Raw genomic sequence first — 23,619 nt, 5'->3', positions numbered from 1 at the left:
GGTTTAGTAATAATAGTTACTGGGTCCACATGCTCCTAATAGTGTGGTACTGTGCCTATTCTCTCCTGGTATCCTGGTCCCCAAATATAAATTCCACAGATGTGTGAGATAGGGGTTATTTCCCCCAACCAGAGTGTTCATTGACTCAGAATTATGTTTGATAAGATGTTCAAGAGATAATCAGGAACCATAAAATACAGAGGCAATAAAAAAGATTTAAAAAATCATAATGATTAAAGTGGTGTACATTCCAATTTATGACACTGCACATCCAAGAAAGGTCCTTTGAGTTTATCACCAATTTTTTTTTTCTTTTTTTTTTTTGAGACTGAGTTTTGCTCTTGTTGCCCAGGCTGGAGTGCAATGGTGTGATCTCAGTTCACTGCAACCTCTGCCTCCTGGGTTCAAGTGATTCTCCTGCCTCAGCCTCCCAAGTAGCTCGGACAACAGGGGCCCGCCACCACACCCAGCTAATTTTTGCATCTGCAGTAGAGACAGGGTTTCACCATGTTAGGCAGGCTGGTCTTGAACTCCTGACCTCAGGTGATCCACCTGCCTCGGCCTCCCAAAGTGCTAGGGATTACAGGCGTGAGCCACCGCGCCCAGCCTTCATCACCAGTTTTTAAATCGATGTTTAAAGCAGTTTTAGGTTCACAGCAAAACTGAGTATAAGACAGAGTGATTTTCCATATGCCCCCCACCCCCACACCTTCCTAGCCTCCCTCATTATTAATATCCCCCACCAGAGTGGCACATTTGTTTTAACTGATGAACCGACATTCATCCTACAGACCTACAACCAAAGTCTACGGTTTGCGTCAGGGTTCACTTATGGTGTACATCCTATGGGTTTGGATAAATGTATAATGACATGCAGTTACCACTGTATAATGTGTCATAGAGACAAAATCAATTTTAAGTACTTAAAAATATAAGCAACTCCTATTTTAATAAGTATCTCCTATTTTAATAAAAAAGCACTAAAATGAAACAAGACATACCTAGTAACCAAACTGTACTTTAACTTCAATTTGCATAAACATTATATAAATTGCATGACCCATGCCATGTGTTGAGTGCAGCAGCAAAGCACTTTCTTTCATGAGAGGTTATTTAGGAGCAGTTTTATTTGCCAGGGTGGCTGTGGATTCTAACAGATTTCTCAGAGAGTCTACCGAACTTATTTACCTGAGTTCTCTGCTCACTTAAGTCTATCCTACTTGCCTATGTAGAGCTGGAAGAATGATGGCATCCTCCACTCGGTCACTGCTAAGGATATATACAGCGCTGGAATCAAAGACCCACCCTTTACTAAAGGGGGAAAGAAATTTTTCATTTCTGCTTGCAAGTTCTTCAGGCTGAGAAGGGGAAAAACTTGTGCCTCAATTCCTTTTAGTAACAAAGTTAGAAACAAATAGCAAGAAATTCTATTAGTTTGTTCCAGTTGTAGTTGCACATACATAAGAGCTGAAAAACAGACGGGGTTTATGTGTATCTATCCTAATTACAGAAGAAAGCCTTTGGACAGCCCAGTTATACCAACTTCCAACTTTGGAAATCACCAGTGAAAACTCTACTTCAGTACTGTTATACTTATTGTTTCTAAATACCATTTTGTTCATTTAAAAATACTCTTTTTGGCTGGGTACAGTGGCTCACGCCTGTAATCCCAGCACTTTGGGAGGCCAAGGTGGGCGGATCACCTGAGGTCAGGAATTCGTGACCAGCCTGGCCAACATGGTGAAACCCTGTCTCTACTAAAAATACAAAAATTAGTCGGGCGTGATGGTGTGCACCTGTAATCCCAGCTACTCAGGAGGCTGAGGCAGGAGAATCACTTGAACCTGGGAGGTGGAGGTTGCAGTGAACCAAGATCGTGCTCCAGCCTGGGTGACCAGAGCAAAACTCCGTCTCAAAAAAAAACAAAAAAAAAATTTTCATCATCAGTTAAAAATTATTAAGTATTAAAGATCTAAACAGATAACTGCAAAATTATTCTCAGATCTTCATTAGTTAAGTCAGTGTATTTGTTCTTTAAATTAAAGACTTACTTGTTATCCAGCAATTGTAGTGAGCTTCTCTTAACATTGGACTCTATTTTTCTCAAGTAGCTCTCTTTTTAAAGACTAATAAAAATTTGTGAGAGAAAGTAACATCTGGACAAACTTTAGACTCTAAAAAAGGGAACAGGCAGCAATTAGTTTTACCTCCTCTGTTGATTTCTGAGGGCAGGGGAGGCGCCATCATGTTTGTGTCCATCGGCTGAGAGCCATCCTGGGTCATGGGGTCTTCAGGAGGCAGGTAAGCAGGTGGGGGCGTATCAGCTACAAAGTTTTTAAAGAAGTTATTTCTTAACCCTTAGTAAACATACATGCTCAAAACACGTATCCTCTTCTGTACTGAAATTCTCAAGAGATCAAGTTGTCATTTCAATCTCCCCATTAAAAGACTAAAGGCTACAGGCACTGCCTTGATGTACAATTTCTGAAAAGTATTAACCATGCCACAATCATATACATTTTTGTGAAAATTCAGTGGGAGGAAAAGAATTATACTATATGCCAGTTCCAGAAGCTGTTTGCCTATGCAGGATCATGCTGTTTAAAAGCAATCAGAAGAGTATTTTAAGCACACTTTAATATAATCTGCTTTGAGAGGACCTCTGCATTTCAGTTTCACTGATAGATGGAAAACCTCTGAAAGCTTCACTGGACTTCTTAAGAAAAGGAGCTTCAGGGTCTTTTGCATTAAATCTATGGGCTTTTAGAAAATTCACCAAGTTTCATTATAGCCTACTGATTTGAACTGTTAATTTTCCATGACTTTAGGGAATCTGTTAGGACCACACTCTCCCTACTCATTTAAATAATCACTAGCTTTAAAATCTCTAGTAACAGAATAACAGAAAATGAATCAGTTTATCACAGCTATCTCCTATTTCAGAATTTACATATATGTTTCTTCTGGCAAATAAGAGGCAAACATGATTTTTTAAACAAAGAACACTAACACAAGTCTTGCATTTTCTTAATATAAAACAAAGGGTATAGGTTTCTCACAAATAATCCTTTTCCATCCAAAAGCAAGCTCCTCACTAGCTATCATGAGCCCATCTAGCATATGTGTCAGAGCCTTGGAGACAAAATTTTACCTGAGGGAATCGTGAATGTTTGGATAAGTAATCGAGACCACTCAGAGCAACTGTCAAATACAAACAACTCATGTTGTTCCTTCAGAGAGCCCCAGTGATTTCCAAGACTCACTCTCCAGCTGAATCACAACCTGGTAACTTCACATCCAGCTGCTAACAAGCAACAACTCATAGTACTGAGATGGGACTACTGGGACCTTCTCTGGATGCCTCTTTTGCCCCTTTTCAGCTTCTTTTAATTCAGCCTCTTCTCTGCAGCTGTAAGGCTGACTCGGCTTTATCTCAAGCCAGGAACAAAGACAAAGAGCCTCCTCTGAGCCCAAGTCAATGAATTTCTGCCAAGAAGCTGGTGAAAATTTCATTGGCAACCTATGGCATCAGCACAACCAAGAGGAACCCGATAATTCTTGATACTATTCTACTATTCCTACAGGCACCTCCTCCCATCCCTTGCAACTGTTTTCCATATTTCCATTACTTGGCCTTTGCCTTAATCCCTGACATTTAGGGACAAAGTGTAAATTCAAGCAATAACCTTTAATTCAATCTTGGGGCCACTCTGGGCTGCCACTGCTCAAAAGTCTTCTGAAATGTATCTCCTCACCACTAACCTGCCCATCATACAGGTTAGTGGTGAGGAGGAAGGGAGAGAGGTAGACAGGAAGTCACCAGTTACTTTGATTTTTAAACTAGTCTGTCTCCCAACCCTCATCCCAAACAGCTTTGGACTGAAAACCGGACAAAACAATGTGAAATAAACAAGATTTAAATAAAAGAAGGTAATAAATACATAAATAAAAGAAAGCAATATAAATGTGGACCACTTTTCAATTTTTGAAGGCCTAGCACTGATGTTGAATTCAAATTTACTTAAAAACATTTCAAGCAGCCCAATAAACACACTTGCCCAGTCATTTTCCCTTCCGAAAACATTAATAGATGTTAAGTATATTTTTGTTTAGGGTATCTTTCTTAAAGTCTACTGGCAAGAAATTTGGCACTCTTTTTTTTTTTTTTTTTGGAGATGCTTGCTCATTAACCTGTAACTTAAAAATATATAATGTCCTTATTAATCATTTATTTTGATAACCATTACACCAACAGTTATGTCTAGAAAAAGAGGATAATTGTTTTTTGTCTTTGCTAAGTTGAACAAGCAGATGGTTTCCAGTACTTCTGTTGTAATTCCTTTGTTGTTAAAGTATACGTTTCTTGGGATTACATCATCATTTGAATGAATTTAATTAAGTAGGGGGTGGGATCCCTCAGGAAATATTTTTTCTGAGGTTGCACTTGCAACAGGAGTTTTTTCCATGTATGAAAACGATGCTGATTGAGGTTGTGTTCTCATAAGAGCAAATGTGTGTAACACGGTATTTTTCTTTTTATCAAGAGTAAAGACTGTAACAATTATGCCACTCCCAGAAGGATGCAGCTGTTTCAAAACCTTTTAAAAACAAGGGGAAAATATAGCTTATTCAAGCATCTGTGCCTGACAAATAAAATAAGACATTTGCTTACTTGACTATGAGGTCTCCTTTCACCAAAAGTTGTATCCTAAAAGTGCGAGAGCACTATGTCATATACCAGGGCTGAAAACCTCCCTCCACTGCAGGTTGACCCAGCTTTTCCGTGACACTGTGATAACACTGTCTGATATGACTACAGAACATCACTGAACATTCCAACCTACCTGGCATCTGGAAAGGGCTTCCTGGGTCTGAGCTGGTGGGAGAGTGAGGGTAGGTGCTGCTGCTGCTCCCAGGAGAGTTTGGGTAACTGCTATTGGGAGAGTGAGGAAACGGGTGGCTGTTGGGTTGCTGGAAAGAATCTGGAAAAGTGGCGTTGAGTGGCATGTGAGGCTCATTTTGTCCTAAGTTACGGAACTGAGCTAAGAGGCTGTGCTGAGGATTATATTCGCTGTGTCTTGGAACCAGCACAGGAGGAAGTACTAGAAAAAGGAAGGGAAAAAAGAGAAGGACAAACATGAGAATTATGATCTATAATTACATCACAATAAAGTAAAACATAATCTGTAAACAACAACAAATTATCTGATCCCTGTCCTGCTGCCAACTCAAAAGCATCATTCAAATGAAAAGCTATTTTACCCTCAAGAACAAATGCAGGAACAAATACAATCCCTTTAGAATCACTGATGACATATGCCTGAGATTTGCAGTATTCACAAATTGCCCAAGGAAAGTTGGCAAAATACAATCTTTTAGGTTAAAAATGTTAAGGTTCCCTCATTCTTAATTTTTTCATTCACTAAAAACCAAAGCATAATTGTTTATCACCATTGACAATTATATTTCACAGCCCTGGCTGATAAGACTTCACATTTAAGAGTTAATGCTTATTGAATGATATGAATTATTCACCACAAGTGTTTTAAGCTGACACACTAATTCACTTTAACACAAAAAAGCAGCATAGTAAATAAAGCTGAAGAGGTAAAATCAGTGAACTGTAGAAAATGCAAATGCCATGAAGATAGTTAATTATACAAAATATGAGGTGCTTTGTGGGACAGAATTTATCTTGTATCCTGTCCTAGGAGTCACACTTTATGAACATCTTTTTTCTAAGGATCTTACCCACTTTTCAAGAATCCTTACCACCACCTGTGAGGTCAAGGAAGAATTAGTTCATACAATTCACATTTTGCTAACTGAAAACTCAAGGTACAAAGGCGGCCCAATAGGTAGGCACCTGTTGAGAAGCAAAGAAAACAACTCCTGTCACTCCTAAATGTTCTACATTAGGAAGCTAAGGAGTTAATAATTGGCATGGTCATCAACCTCCAGAAACCTCCTGAGGCAAAGCCACTATAAATATAATTATCCTGGAGAGGCAGGGCTGGCTAACAGTCAGTTACAGAGCCCTAGCCAGATCCTAGGGTTAGATCCTAAGTTTCCCTGCCAGGGTCACCAGATGGATGCTCTAATAAAGGTCTTTGCAATCCCTCCAGCTCCTGTGGCCTCAGCTACAAACAGAAAAGCAGCCCGTTTCATAAACTGCATGAGAGGAGAGAGGAGAGATTTAAAACTTATGATTATTGTTGGTTGTTAGGAATCAGAATATATTTCCCCAAAGAAACAATATTTGGTGGCAACAGGAATTTAGCAGACTTTTGAGGGCTTTCCAGGGAATCTATGCATAATTTATATCATTTCTACAGTAAAAAGTGCTCTTAACACTTGGATTATCACTTTTTTATGAGCTGAAAATTGCTTTTTAGATAAAAACAGGTTTTTAAAAAAGTATTAAAATTTCTCATGTGCTATATTTTATACTCCTACATAATCCCATAGCATCAGATTTGTTATTTCCCTATTTGATCCTTCAGGAACAAATCTTTTGAGTATATAATAAATGTATTTTCTTTTTAGTACAGTGATGGAATCTTCCCAAACCAAACCATTAAAAGCATAAATTCTTCTTCTACCTTTCAATAGTCATCTGAACTATAAAATGCTTTTGTTTTGTTGAAGAAACATTCCTGATAAGGGATCCCCAATGCCAATAAAAATTTATATTCCAAAACAGTCCAATACCTTTCAATTACCTTTGCAATGACAAACATTCCCTTTTCTTTTAGCTGCTGTGACTTGAATTACCATTTCCCAACTTGCCTTTTACAGGCATCTAGCTATGGTCTCAATTATGATTTTTACCCTTAAAAGGGGGAAACATTGGCCCCTAAACCACTCCCCACAAATGCAGCACCAGACAGCAATCCTTCATGTCCTCTATCCTTCAGAGGACCCCTCCCTCTCACAACACACACGCACAGAGTCCATTAAGGTTGGTGCAAAAATAATTTCAGTTTTTGCATTTAATGGCAAAAACTGCAGCAACTTTGCACCAGCCTAACACTTAGTGGAGCATCTGTTTTAGCAGCTCTTGTTTCCTAACAGTTTTAGAACTGGGGACTTACTTGTTCCTACTACTTGCAGATGGGGGCAGTGAGGGAGGAAGAACTAGCCTTTGCAATAGCCACAGCAAAGGGCAATGTATTTCTGCTTCCCAAGTTGAAAATCTGCATATGTATTCCTCAAAATGTGAGACTCATCCAATGCTGTGTGTGTGTAGCATCTTGTTATATATATAAACTACAATTTATCTGATGATACAATTTTATCTTCTGCTGCTAAATACTTGGGTTGGGGGAAAAAAAACCAACTCAATGCTTGGGTTATTTCCAGTTTGAGGCAGTTATAAAAACTTCTATGAACTTTAAAAAATTTAACTTATTTTGAAATAATTTCAAACTTACAGAAAAACTGCAATACTACAAAGAACACTCAAATACCCTTTACCCAGATTCACCAATTTTTAACATCTTGCCACATTAACTTACTCATTCTCTCTCCTCCATTCCCCAGCCCTAGAACACAAATACACTTCTTCTGAATTATCTGAGAGCAGGTAACATACATGTCCCTTTACCCTATAGCATTTCAGAGTAACTCCCAAAAGGAACATTAACTTACATATACACATTTGTTATCAAACTTGGGAAATTTAACATTGATGATTTTATCTAATATAAAATCATATTCCAACTCTGTCAACTGTCTCAACCATGTCCTATGTAGCAATTTCCTGATACAGGACCTAAGGTAGAATCACATATTGTACTTCGTTGTCATATTTCTTTAGTGTCCTGTAATCTGGAATAGTTCTTCAGCGTCTTTTTTCCTTCTTGCTTTCATGCTACTGACATTTTTGAATACAGGCAGTTATTTTACAGACTGTTTATCAATTTGGGTCCCTCTAATGCTTCCCCGTGATTAAACTCTGAGATTTTTGGTTGGACTACTAGATAAGTGGTATCATTCCCTTCTCAGTTCACATGCACAGAAGCACACGATGTGTCTGCCTGTTTGAGGTTTAATCCTGATCACTTGGTTAAGGTATTGTGCATTTCTTCCACCGTAGACAGTCTCTATCTTTCCTTTTGTAATTAATAAGTAGTGAGAGATACCACGAGACTGTGTAAATATCCTGTTCCTTATCAAGCTTTATCCCCTATATTTAGCATCCATTTTGCTTGAATAAATTTTTGCTATAATGGTTGTGAACTGAATTTTCTTTAACTCCATTATTCCTTCATTATTAGTCAGAATTCTAATATGAAGACGTGCTTTTCCATCTCTTGTGTCTATATGCCTATATATAACAGTCATCAGTATGGCTTCATGGATTCTTAATCAATGAGCTATAATCTATAAATATCTTTATCTATTTTGATGGTCATATTGTCTTAGATTTGGCCATTGGGTGCCTGTTCAAGCTAGTCCCTGTGCCTTTGTAACATGTTCCAATTATTTGAGTATTTCTTAATTTCTGGAACAAGACATTCCAGGCTTATCTCTTACCTTCCCTTTCCACCACTCCAGCAATCTCTGGTTCCCTTTAGTGAGGAATAGTATTTAGAAACCAAAATCTGGGATTTGGCTGTCTTCTGTATGTCTACTGGAGCCACATTGATTCTAAGCCCTGTGTGTGTGCGTGTGTGTACTGGAAATTGGGTTATGCTGTTACATCCAAGTGTTAAGCCAACTCCACAGGGTTTTCATTTGCCTTTCTCTATTTCCTATCTGTATCTCCTTATTTCAACAGTGAGAACCTTGGCTACCAACATCAAAATATTTATGAATGTGCTTAATTCTACGATACACTGAAAAAATTTCAGAAATTATAAAATAAACCTACTAAGACAAGTTTTGGGTTTATTCTCTTTAATTTTTTTTTTTTTTTTGGTATACTAAGAACTTGGATTCATTCAAATTCATTCAAAATCTACTTGGATTCATCCCTCTCTTCTCTTCAGTGTTATTTTATTACTTTGAAATTTTATTCAATTTCTCCCTTTCACAGTTAGTTTATTTGAATATATCTGTTGCTATTTGCGCTTAGTTTTAGGAGTTCCCCTCTCTCATTCTTATTGTGTGTATTTAAAAAGCAAAATTAAATCAACATTAACATGATTTTAAAGTCAAAACAATATACTCCCTACCACATCCCTTCTAACTTAGTCCTCCAATTTTAACATCCTCCTAGGGTCACCAATTTCATTTTTTTCTGGCTTATCCTGTGTTTCTTCTTGAAAAAAGCAAGCAGATAAATGGATGCTTTCTTATTTCGTCTTTACTGCTAAAAAGAAAGATAGCCTACTATATAGGCTCTTTTGCACTTTGCTTTTTTCACCTATATATGAGAAAAACTTCATATTAGTGCACAGAGGTCTTCCTCATGTGGTTTGACAGATAACAACACCAAAGGTGATTTAACAATCTCCCATATCTGGCCATTCAGGTATTTCACAATATTTTACCAGAAAATGTAATACTGCAATGACTGTGCATATATATGGTAGCACTGTCAAAGGTGTATCTTCAGGGCAAATTCCTAGATGTGGAAATGCTGGGTGAATGGGTAAATGTATATATAACTTTGTTATTGTCAAGTACCCCTTTCCAATGGTTGCACCATTTTGCACTGTCACATAGGAGTGCCTTTTTCCCATACCTTCCAGAATAGAGTCTGTCAAGCTTCTGAATCCTGACAACCTGATGGGTGACAAATGACATTTTGGTGCAATTTTAATTTACATTTCTCTTATAGTGAAAGTTGATCATCTTTTCATGTATTTCAGACAGCGCTTTTCTATCTTTTTCTTTGAACTGTTGGCTTATGCCTTTTGCCTATTTTTGGTATTTTCATCCTTCATTAAAAAAAACAACATACTAGAGATACTAGCCTGTGATATATGTTGTGGATATTTTACCATGACTATCATTTGTCTTTTCACTTATGTATATTTTTTGGTAGGCACATTTATCAACATATTATTTTATTGCATATTTATTTTTGAGTCCTAGAAAGCCTTCTCCTATACCCAGATTATAAGGAGGAATTCATCCATGCATACTTCTAGTGCATATAAAGTTTCATAATTTATTTAGCTCTGTGATCCCTTTGGAGTTTAGTTTTATTTGTGGTATGAGGAATGGATCTAATTTTATCTTTCTCTAAATGGTTAGCCAGTTAACCCCAACACCATTCATTAAAAGCCCATCTTTGACCCAGTGATTGGAGTTGCCGCTTTAAAAAAGTTCCATAAATGTTCGAGTCTTTTAGACATTTAATTCCACTACATTTCATCCTGTTCTAGTCTGTGCCCCAGTACCACTCTGTTTTAATTATAAAGGCTTTATAGAGATTTTAATATCCGATAGGGGCCAGCCCCTCTCACAGTTCTTCCTTTTCAGTGTTTTGTTTGCATGCTTAAGCTTTCCATATGACTTCAGTTATCACCTTGTTTACCTCCGGTAAAAAAAGTTATTAATACTTTTATTGAGGTCACATTATATACATAAATTAAGTAAAGATTAATATCTTGATGATGCTGAAATGCCCTTCTGAAGATGTAGGAAGGTCTGTTCAAGCCTACTTTTGTGTTCTACAAGTATTGTCTGCATTAGTTGCTAGCACTGCTGTAACACAATACCATAGACTGGCGGCTTAAACAACAGAAATTTATTTTCTCACTGTTGCTGTGAAGGCTGGAAATCCAAAGTCAAAGTGTTGGCAGGTTGGTTTCCCTGAGGCTTCTCTTCTTGGCTTGCAGGCAGCTGCCTCCTCAGGGTGTACTCACATGGCCTTTTCTCCTGAGGTCTCTGCATGTTTCATCCCTCTTCTTATAAAGACCCCAGTCAGACTGCATTAGGGCCCATGCTCATGGTCTCATTTAATTTAATTACCTCTTTTAAAGGCCCTATCTCCAAAAACAGTCATATTCTATGGTGCTTGGGGTTAGGGCTTCAATATATCAATTTTGGGGCATGCAACTCAGTTCCTAACACCACATATAGGATTTGCACATTTCTTGTTAAATTTATCAAGTTGTTGCTATTTTCAATGAGATTAAATGAGGCTTCTTCTCCAATGTATCTTCTAACTGGTAATTACTACCACATGGTCCACAGCAGCACTTACAAAAACTTCCTTATTTGCTTTTTTAAAAACAAATTTTATTATTATTTTTAGAGCTGGGGTCTTGCTATGTTGCCCAGGCTGGAGTGCTGTGGCTATTCACAGGCATGATCACAGAGCAATTCAGCCTCAAACTCCTGGGCTTAAGCGATCCTCCTGCCTCAGCCTCCTGAGCAGCTAGGACTACAGATGCCTGCCACCATGCGCAGTTAATTTTTATTTTTTGTAGAGACAGGGTCTCGCTATGTTGCCCAGGCTGGTCTCAAACTCCTAGTCTCAAGCTATCCTCCTGCCTCAGCCTCTCAAAGCACTGGGATTACAGGCATGAGCCACCACACCCACCCTGGAGACTGTATAAGTAGGGTGTCTGTAAGTTCTAGCTTGCCTGGGATAGTCCCAATTTGTACCTGTTGTCCAATGTAATTAGTAATAGGTGACTCTTGTCAATTTCAAGCCTCCTGGCTTGGACAATAAATGTTCACACTAACTATAAGCGATGACTAATTAAATTCAGGAAAGTAAAGAGACAGGTCTGGAACAGCTGCCAGCCCTAGAAAGAAGTATTAATGTGGCAGAGAGGAGACACATAGAAGTTAGTCAGGCTGGGTTAAGCCTACACACACGTGCTGCTCTAAAATAACAAGGCCCAGGCCTCTCTCCCTGTGTGGAATCCTGAAGGACAATGCGTGGTTCTCTCCCAGATGTCTCTCGCTCTACCCCCACTTCATGCTCCTTTCATTTCAGCAAGATTTCAGTAAAGAATAATTAAAATATGTTTTCTATTAGGCAAAAAGGAAAGAAGAAACATTCAGATAATTATTCATGTTTAAGCACACTTTCTTTGTGCAATTCTCATTTCTTGGGTGAGAGATTTACCAGCCTAAAGAATGAGGATTTGCAAACTGCAGGCCCAACTCAGATCACCAATAGGAAGGGAGAGAGGGTGAGCAGTGTTTCCCTCTGACTTGTTCTATGTCTCGGGCTGTTCCTATTTTATGGAAAACAAATATGGGAACGTAGACTTTTCTGGGGAACCACTTTCTTAGTGCACTAAGGTGACCCTTGTTTGGTAACTTCAAAATATGGCTAAAGTGTGGGACTTCCCTCTTTAAGGGCTGCTCCTATTGGTTAATTTGAATAAGAATCTGCTTTCAAAGAAGAGCCCAATGTTAAAACATCTTTCTTTGTACACATGAATTTCTTCCGAGTTATTTAAAAATCAGACCATGTATGTCCTTCTTGTATCCTAGGAGCTCTAACTCTGGTAAAAACCCAAATCTTTTCTCCCACCCTAACCCCTCAAATATATTCTGAAAAAACGCCCCTAGGTGATTTCACCAATCCTCTCCACCCATTTGAAAATGTCTAATTGTGTTATGTCTTTAAAAGGCTGAAGCTATCTTCTTTTCCTGATCTCTTTTCCTTTTCTCTCAGGAGAAAAAAATCTTCAGATTTCTGCCTTTTCTCAGTGACGTTAACTCTGCTTTTCAAACTGTGCATCTCTGTTAAAAATAAAATCCCTTTTCCAGTCAACAGGGAAACCCAACTAAGAATGTTTCAGGAAGCAAAAGTTTCAGAGATATTTGTGATTCTGCTATTATACTCAGCTTTTCAGCGTTGCTAAGGTACACGGAAAAGCATGAAAAAGAACAGTTAAAATTGTAGAGAGGGGCTGAGCTCTGGAAAGGATTCCTGTAAACTCTAGATGTGAGAGCTTTTTTAAGATTTTGAAGTACTGCTTGAAATTCTATCACCAAGTTGTCAGTGGTAAAGTAGTCTAGTAATGAGACAAAGTCTGACAAATCCCCACGTGGGCTGTGACCCACCAAATGTTCGTGAGAAAGCAGCTTTTTTCTTTTTTAAACACGCAAGAGAGTTCTGATATATGTTTGCCCATATAGAAGTAACAGAAAAAAAAAAAAGAAGTAACGGACACAAGCTACCTGTTACCTGGCAGTACAGAAATGCTTTCTAGTTCTGAGAAGGTGGTAAAGGCATTTAGGTTAGAGTCAAGACACCTTAGTTCTAGTCCTGACTCCCGTAACCACCTTTGTGACTTTGAGCCAATCACTTAATGTCTCAGGGACTCAGTTTCCTCACACAAAAGAGCAAGAAACTTGCTCTCCACAGGGTCTTCCTGCTCTAAATTCTGCAAGTCTTCTGATGGATGAGAATGCTGCTCATGTACACCTGGAGTTTTGTAATGTCCAAAGCTCAGCCCCAGATGGCATCTAAGTTGAATCTCAGGACATTTCAGTGAGGCCACCTACAAGCAGAAAGGAGGCCCAGGGCTAGGGACAGAATGGCCCCAGAGCCAGTCAGCTGCAGCAATTCTTGTGAGAAAGGGAGGGCAAGCTGCCAGAGCAGCTGTGCCCAATATGATGCCTACACGAGACAGATGTCCCCAGTAGAGTGTGTTCAGTGACCTTCTAAACAGAGACACTTCAAGTAGGAAGTGCCGGAAAGGGTAAGAGTAAGAACACTTAAAATTAATAGTATACACATTTATGAAATAAAATTCCTTACCTCAGCATATGTCAGGGAAACTTTACGCTGAAGAAATGATTCTTGGAACCTCAATAGAGGTTAAATTTTAATGAAAATATATAACAGCCTAAACCCCTGAGTGGTGGCACTTTTTTGTCTGCTTATTGGTGATGAGGTGATAGTACGGAGGGTCTATAATATAAGGTTCACTGGGTACCATATATGCCTCCATCATGCAGGGCACTGCAGGTATGAGTCAACAGGACAGACACTGTCCTTGCCCATTGGGAAAAGTGTCTATCACTAAATCCTCACAGCAGTTATCTCTGTTTTACAGGTGAAGGATCAGGCTCAGCCTAGCTAAGTAACCCATGCAAGGTCACACAGCTGCTAATTGAGGGCCAGGATGTGAATCAAGGTCTGCTCATAACCACTAGACAATCACTCAGTACTATAAAACTGGAAAGAGACTGTGGAAGTTGTTTTTTAAATTCTTTTTCCATCCTTCTGTTTGTTTTTTTGGGGGCAAGATCTTTTTAAAAGGTATGATAGTTTTGCCTAAAGGTAGCAACACGGTAGTATTTACTTTCTGGGAGTATAGTTACTCAAGTACAAATATATTAAAAGACAAAGATGTGAACATAATTTGACATAGATAAATGAATTTCATTCAACAATATCATAAAGCATTAAACAAAAGCCACTAAATTTACCTAAAAATCACCTAAATCTAACTCAACTTCTGAGAATCCAACTTCCTAGATAATGCCAGGCCAATGATTCTTTTTGTATACCACAGATTATTTTCTTGAAAAATACCTTCTCTGGGCACCCACAGAACGTCTGCTATGACTCCATAACCTAGTTCAGATTCCTGCTTCAACCTATCTTTGTGGCTTTTTGCAGTTTTCATCTGCTAGTTTCATACTTCTGCACCTTTGCTCACTTGGCCATATTTCCAAGTCTCAGTTCTAACAGCACTCCCATGGTGCCTTTCCCGGTCTTTCTATCCACCCCTGGTAGAAAAGAATTCCTCCCTATGCCTCAGTGTGCCCTACACAGACTTTCATTGTAGCATCTGCAACATTTTATTGCTAAGTTGACTTTACTTCACCTGGACTGTAATGCCTTTGTGGGTAGAACTGATTTTCTTTCTTTTGAAAGGAAATAGGTGCCAGTGTCTGGCACCTAATAGGTCCAGAATGAATGTTTTTTCAATATGTTTGTAAATTGTATTGCTATTCCTGACCTGTCTACTATAAGTGGGTTCATATAAACCAGTCTTTCTCAAAGTTCAGCCCTCAGACTCTTTGCACCTGAATTAGATACTTATTTAAAAAGGCAGATTCTTATACCTCATCCCAGATATAACAAGTCAAAACCTTCAGCAATTCTGGGTGAATACAGCCTAGGTACAGGAAGACAAATGGTTACTACATGCACTGGCAAGAGAGCTAGGTGTCTGGCCCTATCTATGTCTCTAAGTAGCTGTGGAACTTGAACTTCAATTTTTCTCATCTTAAGTCAAATTTCTAGAGATCATCCCTTTCACTTACAAAAAACTCTACACAGTATTGGTCCTGATTCTTTGACAGTATACAGATATAAATCCAAATGACATGGAAAAGGCTGGCATGGCCTTATAGTAAGCTTACAGAAAATTTACAGGGCCCAGTTTTTTTGGTCAAGAGGCATGTTGTCATGGAAAAAGCACTGGCTTGGGATCAAGATAGCCCACGGTCTTAGCTGTATGAATTTAGGTGGCATAAATTCCCACCTCAGTTTCCCCAAAGGGATAGCAAGCCCTTAACAGCACTCTGAGAATCAAGAATGGTGGCACACAGCAGTTTGTCAAACCTAGTTCCCTCTCTGTCTTTTCTCTTCCTACTTTCACCCTGGTAGTTTCCTTTCTTTTGCCAAGTATTTATCTGCTTTACTTCCACAGAAGGAAGGTGCTCTGTTATTAGAGACTTCGAGAGTTGTTAGAGGTAGAAAAAAACTTCAGGGTATAACCTAAAAACATCAGGAGAAAAAAAAATACCTTCAAAAGCCACACATGAAGTATAGTAACAGTCAGAAGCAGGTTTTAGTTTCTCAGTTCCAAAATTGGAAATTCTGCTTATTTACTAGCCGATTAACTAGGGCAATTTACTATTTAAACCTCACTTTTAATAATAAAATAGGAATAATAGTACTTCTCAGATTTTCTTTTAATATGGTGCTTATACATGTGTGTACCAAGTGCCACATACCAAGCTGTACCAGATATTAACTCATTGAATCCTCTGAACAACTCTGATCCTAGGTACTACATTACCTCTACTTTATAAAAGTGGAAAATGAGATATAGAGAATGAGATAGAGAATGTATCACCAATAACCAGGGAAGACAGGATTCAAACCTAGGCAGCCTGGCACTGCAGTCCAAGTTCTTAGCCACCGTGCTATGGTGTCTCTCAACGTTGCACAAGTTAGTTTTAACAAAGTTCCATAAGCACACAGTAAGAGGTAGTCATTACACAAAGAGCAGTTAGCCTATGGTGTCTATTCATCTATTGCACGATTGATATGTAAATGATTAACCTAGGTGTCACCCAGGCATCTTTAATTTGTAACTGCAGCTGAATTAATTATATTCAGCTCATTCTGAGTTTATATTTGATGCAATTAAATATATTCCACGAAAATGAGATACTTGGTATCTAATAAAGAACATTATGGTCAGGCGCGGTAGCTCACGCCTGTAATCCTGGCACTCCGGGAGGCCAAGGTGGGTGAATCACTTGAGGTCAGGAGTTCGAGACCAGCCTGGGCAACATAGTGAAACCCCCCGTCTCTACTAAAAAATACAAAAGTTAGGCCGGGTGCAGTGGCTTACGCCTGTAATCCCAGCACTTTGGGAGGCTGAGGAGGGCAAATCACAAGATTAGGAGTTCGAGACCAGCCTGGCCAACATAGTGAATCCCTGACTCTATTAAAAATACAAAAATTTAGCTGGGTGTAGTGGCGGGCGCCTGTAATCCCAGCTACTCAAGAGGCTGAGGCAGGAGAATCACTTAAACCCAGGAGGTGGAGGTTGCAGTGGGCCAAGATCGTGCCACTGCACTCCAGCCCTGGTGACAGAGTGAGACTCAATTTCAAAAAAAAAAAAAATATATGTGTGTGTATGTGTGTGTGTGTGTGTGTGTGTGTGTGTGTGTACAAACAAAAAAATTAGCCGAGAGTGGTAGTGCATGCCTGTAGTCCCAGACACTCGGGAGGCTGAGGCAGGAGAATAACTTGAACCCAGGGCCGGGGCCGGGGCGGGGAGCGGTGGAAGTTGCAGTGAGCCAAGGTTGCGCCACTGCACTACAGCCAGGGTGACAGGGTGGGATTCTGTCTCGAAAAAAAAAAAAAATTACTGATCAATGGGAAATAAACAGAAGCCTCCATAAACACTTCAAGGGCAGATGTGGACTCGCAATCCAAAACTCATGCAGCTGGTGCACATATGATCACATTCTCTACTACCAAAAACTCTGGATGCCCCTCCTTTTTGTTGAGAGAAAACTGATTAAAGACTTCTTTTGGGAAGCAGTATAGCACAGTGGTTAGCAGCATGGATTTTGCAGTTAGGCTTTAATTTGAATCCTGGCTTTCCAGATACAAGTTGTGTGAAAAATTTACTCAAATTCTACATATCAGTAGCCACATTGGTACCATCTTCCGGCAGTCGTTGTTAGAATTAAATGAGAATAGGGCCGGGCGCGGTGGCTCACGCCTGTAATCCCAGCACTTTGGGAGGCCGAGGCGGGCGGATCACGAGGTCAGGAGATCGAGACCATCCCGGCTAAAACGGTGAAACCCCGTCTCTACTAAAAATACAAAAAATTGGCTGGGCGTAGTGGCGGGCGCCTGTAGTCCCAGCTACTTGGGAGGCTGAGGCAGGAGAATGGCGTGAACCCGGGAGGCGGAGCTCGCAGTGAGCCGAGATCCCGCCACTGCACTCCAGCCTGGGCGACAGAGCAAGACTCCGTCTCAAAAAAAAAAAAAAGAATTAAATGAGAATAGATGGTAAGTGATAAGCACAGTGTCCAGCACACAGAAAGCATAAAAAGTCACTATTTTAACTTTATTAATATTTTATTCTAATAATATCATTCCTTTTCTGAATATCTGTTTAATGAAAAGTTGCTTACATTACAAATTTTGTTTCTATTCTAAGAAAGATACACAGAAGTGATGTTCCTTGTATCACTATTTCAGTCATATTGTTTCAAGAATGCATTAGTACATAAAGCCTTTTCACATGCATTAACTTTATCCTCAACCTGAAAAGTAGATGTAACCACTCCCCCATTTTATGGGTTAGCAAACACAAGCTCAAAGAGGACAAATGACTAACCCAAGGTCAAAGTTATCAAGTGCCAAAATTCAATCCAGCCCTTCTAACCCTAGATTCTTCCCATCATATTTTAACTACTAAAGAGAAATAAATATCTCCTTTAAATGGCCTTATTGTCCAGAATATCCTAAAGAACTCCACATTTACTGGTTGGCAATGGCATTCTACTGTGAGCAAGAGCCTTTTCCTTCTCCCCCATTCATCTTCAGCATGGATTCCTGTTTTTCTCCCAGTGGTTTATAATTCACTTCTGTCCTTAATTATTCCGTTGATCAAATTGTCTCAGATTTGTCACAAGCTGGCCTCTGGGTCCTTGTGACATGCTCCCATCAGTTTTCTCTTAAATAACATTTTAAGATTAGCTATTATTTTTCCTATTTAAAAGCTGTAAGTTATATGTGAATAGACATTTATCCACAACTTTTCTCCCAAGTTGATCATCTTACTTAAATATCTGTCAAGCACACCACCATACCCTGGGTAAACTTTTCAGGTGCTCAAAGAAAGGTATTGTCACACACAAAAAATACTGCAAAATCTGCTACAAAGCTAGCTAGCTAGAACTGATAGGGAAACTACAGGGAAACAAAGGCAAAAACATATAAGGCAATTTCACTCTGTTATTTATATGTTTATTTTTAGTTTACAATAAGCTGTCCAAATGCTCCTTATAAAATCACTCTTCTTTTACTTTATTCTCACTGAACATCCCAGACAGGCCACTGGGCAATTAGTCAAGTGAAGGTGATGTGCGACCACATAAGCCAGACCACGCCAGGCCACAATTTAGATAAAAAAATGTCTTTTCTCATGCGAAAGAATAAAGAACTAAGAAAAGCAGCATCTCTTGGAGAGCTGTTTTAGAACCAGGGTAGTGATATAGCAGAATATAAACCTGATCTTCCATTTTTAAAACCTGCTAAGATTCCAGAGCATGAACATTACAATTTAGAGAACTGGAGGAAAATTGCCAAACACTCCTTTGTTGACCTAAATCTTGATTTAAGCCACAGAATGTGTTTCCAACACCCTAGATCTTTTATCAAGGAAATTACACTTACCTCTAGTTACATAGTTTTATGTGGAGCAGACCTGCAATTGAGTATTATGGTCAGGCTTCAGTGCTAGAGAAATCCTGTTGAGGACTGAGGGCAATGATAATTAGAAAAGTGGAGTGGGTAAGCAGCAAGTGATTATCTCTCCATCTCCCATACACCAGGAGGCCTGGCCCAGCTCAGCCCAGCTCAGCCCAACCCACCCCAGCCCAAACCCAGAGGAAACGAGTCTGCATGCAGACATTCAAACTAGATTCAGCACCAGTATCAAACAACTACACCAATCCCCAGCCAAACTGGCAAATTAACAAAATGTGGGGGTTTTAGCTCTACTATTCTGCAAGCCCTCTTAGATTTTTACCACAGTGCTCATGGTATCCACCCTACAGCTGCTCCAAATCCTCCAGCTCTGCTTCTTCAAAAACAAATAAACCCTTGTTGCTTCCCCATCTCCTCCCCAAACAAATCTCATTTTTCCAAATATCAGGGCAGAGGTTTGATGATCTGGCTAATTCATGCTTATTAGTCATGATGCTTAGTCTTTCCGGAGAACATTTTCATTTTAAGGGGAAAATGGCAAGGGGATAGAACATATATTTGAGAGAAAGCAATCTCTGGTCTGTTCTCTGGCCTTTTGATATCTAGCACCAAAGAGGCTGAAAGTAAAACCAAATTAATCAGCCTGAGATCATTACATAAGCCGACCATCCTCTTCTATTTCTCTCCTTTTTCCAAGTATCCAGCAAGGCCACCGGGCACTCCCACATGGGGCAAATCACCTGTGACTCCTCCTAAACTCAACCACATATAAAACTTACTCAAACCTCCAAGAAATCATTGTTTCAGGATGATCCACATGTGGGAATAATAAGCCAAAAAGCACAATTCAGAAGGTCTTAATTATTATTTCACCCTAAGCTAGTCTTGGAAACATTGGCCTGGTTTTTTTCTTTTAATTTAAAATATTATGACAAATGTTTTTCTATGGTTTTCAAAACTGCTGTTTTTCTTCAGTCACTTTTTTTTTTTTTCGTTTTCTTTTTAACAGCTGCTGGCTGGCTGGTGTTCTTTCTGCTCTATGAACCAGCAATGGAGGGTGGAAGACAGCTGCACTTTAAATGAATCTGAAAGATCTGAAAATATCTTCTCTTGCCCACCTAATACTGCAGAAATAGAATAAGAAGAAAAATAATAAAGCAGAAGACAAACGTCAGGAAAGCAAAAGTATGAGAAAGGTACTTTGTATGATCTATAGACTACTGTCTTAAAATTTCAAATTAAAGTAGATTTGGCAATAGAAAAATTCTGCCCAGAAACAAATCACATTGTAGTTGTCTAGATGTCTGCTTCCATCGATGTATAACAACTTATGTACTTTTACAGTTTATGTAAAAGTAACATACAGTAATGGCTGAAACAGTATCTATTCATCAATTAATAACCCAAAACAAATGCCACAAATGCATTTAAGAACAGTTGCTCAGAAAAGAAAAAAAAAATTAAAATAACAAGCTTCACATTTGCCTAGGATTTAACACTGGAATCCACTAAAAGATCTGGGTATAAAATCCTACTCATGACTATATTATTTCATGTTTCTAGTAATATTATAGATGAAAATAATAAAATTATCAACCATAAGCCAATGCCAATGATAAAATCCTGGAAAGCGTTCACTGTCTTATCTCCATGTCCACTAGGCTGTGTGGATAGAAATCTAAGTAGTGACCTTGTGCTTTTTCAAAAAAGAACTTCCAGACTGAGCATGGTAGCTCATGCCTGTAATCCCAGAACTTTGAGAAGCTGAGGTGGGAGGATGCCTTGAAGTCAGGAGTTTGAGGCTGCAGTGAGCTATGACTGCGCCACTGCACTCCAGCCTGAGCAACAGGGCCAGATCTCGTCTCAAAAAAACAAACCAAAACAAAAAGCCAAAAAAGAACTTCCATGTAGACTGAAGAATGAAGCCCTGAGAGGACTGTGGAAGAGCAACTGCAAAAGCCAGAGGGCACCCACCCCACCCTAAGGCACCCCTCCTGCCAGAAGCCTCTGCAACCGCCTCAGTGGCTCTGCCCGGAACCCAACCTTCAAGCGCAAAAGCTGATTTGTATCTCCTAACTCTTAAAACTTTCTTCCTTCATCTCCAAGCTATTAATACATACACCTCTCCCCTACACCAAAACTATTACGAGAAACATGCAAACTAGGATTACAAACATATAATAACGATAGTTATTTTTGTTTATAGTTATACAAATATACATAGTATATTTGTATTATAGTAACTCCTATGGAACACCTTTGTGCTAGTTTTTCTCAGTCTTGATCTTTCATTGTATTTTCCCTGGTCTATTTTATTAGTAATTCTTTTCTATTTTATTGTATGTCCAAAACCTGTAAACTGATTTAAGTCCTTTCTGCACTGAAACATACACATATATCCCATCACCACACAGATTGCAACACCATGTGTTATATGTGTCAGAGTGAGCAAGCTTTTCTGTGGTGACTCCTGGGTGTGTAAGAGTTAGCTGCAGCCTCTATCCAGTGTGTAAGAGTTAGTCGCAGTCTCTGTCCACACCTCTATTCAATTTAGAATACAGTGCTGTAATTACATGCTAACCTTCTGGGGCAGGCACAGTTCCTGAGGAGTTAGTTTATCATGTGCTTTAAATGTCTGAATAAAAAGAAATTTAGACACGCAGGAACACACGGCATAATGCCTTATTTTAATTTTTATAGTTAATATTATTGCTAATTAATCCCAAATATTTAAAAACTTAAAAAAAACTTGAACTAGACTGAAGTTTTTTGTTACCACACACATGTCATATAAAAACACATTCACAGCCAGGCACGGTGGCTCACGCCTGTAATCCCAGCACTTTGGGAGGCTGAGGCGGGCAGATCACAAGGTCAGGAGTTCGAGACCAGCCTGGCCATATGGAGAAACCCCGTCTCTACTAAAAATACAAAAATTAGTTGGGCATGGTGGCGGGTGTCTGTAATCCCAGCTACTGAGGAGGCTGAGGCAGGAGAATTGTTTGAACCCGGGAGGCAGAGGTTGCAGTGAGCTGAGATCATGCCATTGCACTCCAGCCTGGGCGACAGGGCGAGACTCCATCTCAAATTAAAAAAAACAAAAAAACAAAACAAAACAAAACAAAACACATTCACAATGTGGTGAAGCAAGACATTTTTTAAAGATTTCCATTTGTTTTTTTGGAGACAGAGTTTTGCTTTTGTTGCCCAGGCTGAAGTGCAATGACACAATCTTGGCTCACCACAACCTCCACCTCCCAGGTTCAAGCGATTCTCCTGCCTCAGCCTCTGAGAGCTGGGATTACAGGCCGTGCACCACCACGTGGGCTAATTTTGTATTTTTAGTAGAGATGGGGTTTCTCCATGTTGGTCAGGCTGGTCTCGAACTCCCGACCTAAGGTGATCCACCCGCCTTGGCCTCCCACAGTGCTGGGATTACAGGCGTGAGCCACTGCACCCAGACCATTTTTTTGTTTGTTTTTTTGAGACAGAGTCTTGCTCTGTCGCCCTGGCTGGAGTGCAGTGGCGCGATCCCGGCTCACTGCAAGCTCCACCTCCTGGGTTCACCCGTTCTCCTGCCTCAGCCTCCCGAGTAGCTGGGACTACAGGCGCCCGCCACCTCGCCCGGCTAATTTTTTTTTTGTATTTTTAGCAGAGACGGGGTTTCACCGTGTTAGCCAGGATGGTCACCTCGTGATCCGCCCGCCTTGGCCTCCCAAAGTGTTGGGATTACAGGCATGAGCCACCACGCCCAGCCTGTTTTATAAAATATTAATTTTATTACATTTCCTCTCGTCTTTTTAATATTCTGTGTGACAAAATGAAAAGTGCACAAAGAGCACCAGTGTGAGCTGAACTAGCTGCTTTTTTTTTTTTTTTTTTACAGAAAACCATTTGTTAAATCAAGGTAATTGTAGATTCACATGCAGTTTTAAGGATAACAGAGAAATCCTACTTACAGAATCAGAATATTACAGACTATCACAGAATATTACAAAATTATCACAATCAAAATATTGACATTGATACAGTCAAGATACAGAAAATTTCCGTCACCCCAAGGATCTCTCACTTTGCCCTTTTATGGCTACACCCACTCCCCTTCCCCTCTTTCCTCTTCTTGGCCCCTGGTGAGAACTAATCTGTCCTCTATTTCTATAATTTTAAGACTTTCTCTTCAAGGTAAAATTTACCAAGACACGAATTACACAGTGACTGAGGCAGCCAAAGAGTGAAAACATGCATTCAGTCAACAGGTGAAGAGGATTTTACGTGAATTTTAAACAGCTGGCAGCCATCATGCTGAAAATGAAAGCACCTGGAAGCTAATGCCTTAAAGATCAAAACTGAAATCTCAGAATTTCAAGCTCAGATTTAATATGCCCTTTCAAGCTGATTAAGTTCAAAGTGCAGAAGATAATTTTCAAGAACCATGTGAAAAACATTAAAAAAAAAATGGCCAATGGCAGGTAATCTCCATTAAGGCATTTTTAATA

The 23,619-nt window shown here is 39.4% G+C and overlaps 1 protein-coding gene across 14 annotated transcripts in view; it reads right to left on the bottom strand.

Moving 5' to 3' along the window:
* SMAD1 (SMAD family member 1) overlaps positions 1–23,619 on the bottom strand; it is a 78,407-nt gene that overhangs the window by 14,271 nt on the left and 40,517 nt on the right. For all 14 annotated transcript variants that reach the window (XM_047415690.1, NM_001354812.1, NM_001354813.1 and 11 more), the window contains 2 exons: positions 4,845–5,102; positions 2,208–2,324 (listed from right to left, as the gene is read on the bottom strand). In XM_047415690.1, the coding sequence (XP_047271646.1) occupies positions 2,208–2,324; positions 4,845–5,102 (375 nt within the window). The remainder of the gene's footprint in view (positions 1–2,207; positions 2,325–4,844; positions 5,103–23,619) is intronic.

This window comes from Homo sapiens, chromosome 4, assembly GCF_000001405.40.
Source record: "Homo sapiens chromosome 4, GRCh38.p14 Primary Assembly".
In the NCBI taxonomy this organism is placed as follows: Eukaryota; Metazoa; Chordata; class Mammalia; order Primates; family Hominidae; genus Homo; species Homo sapiens.
This window is presented reverse-complemented; position numbering and strand designations above follow the sequence as displayed.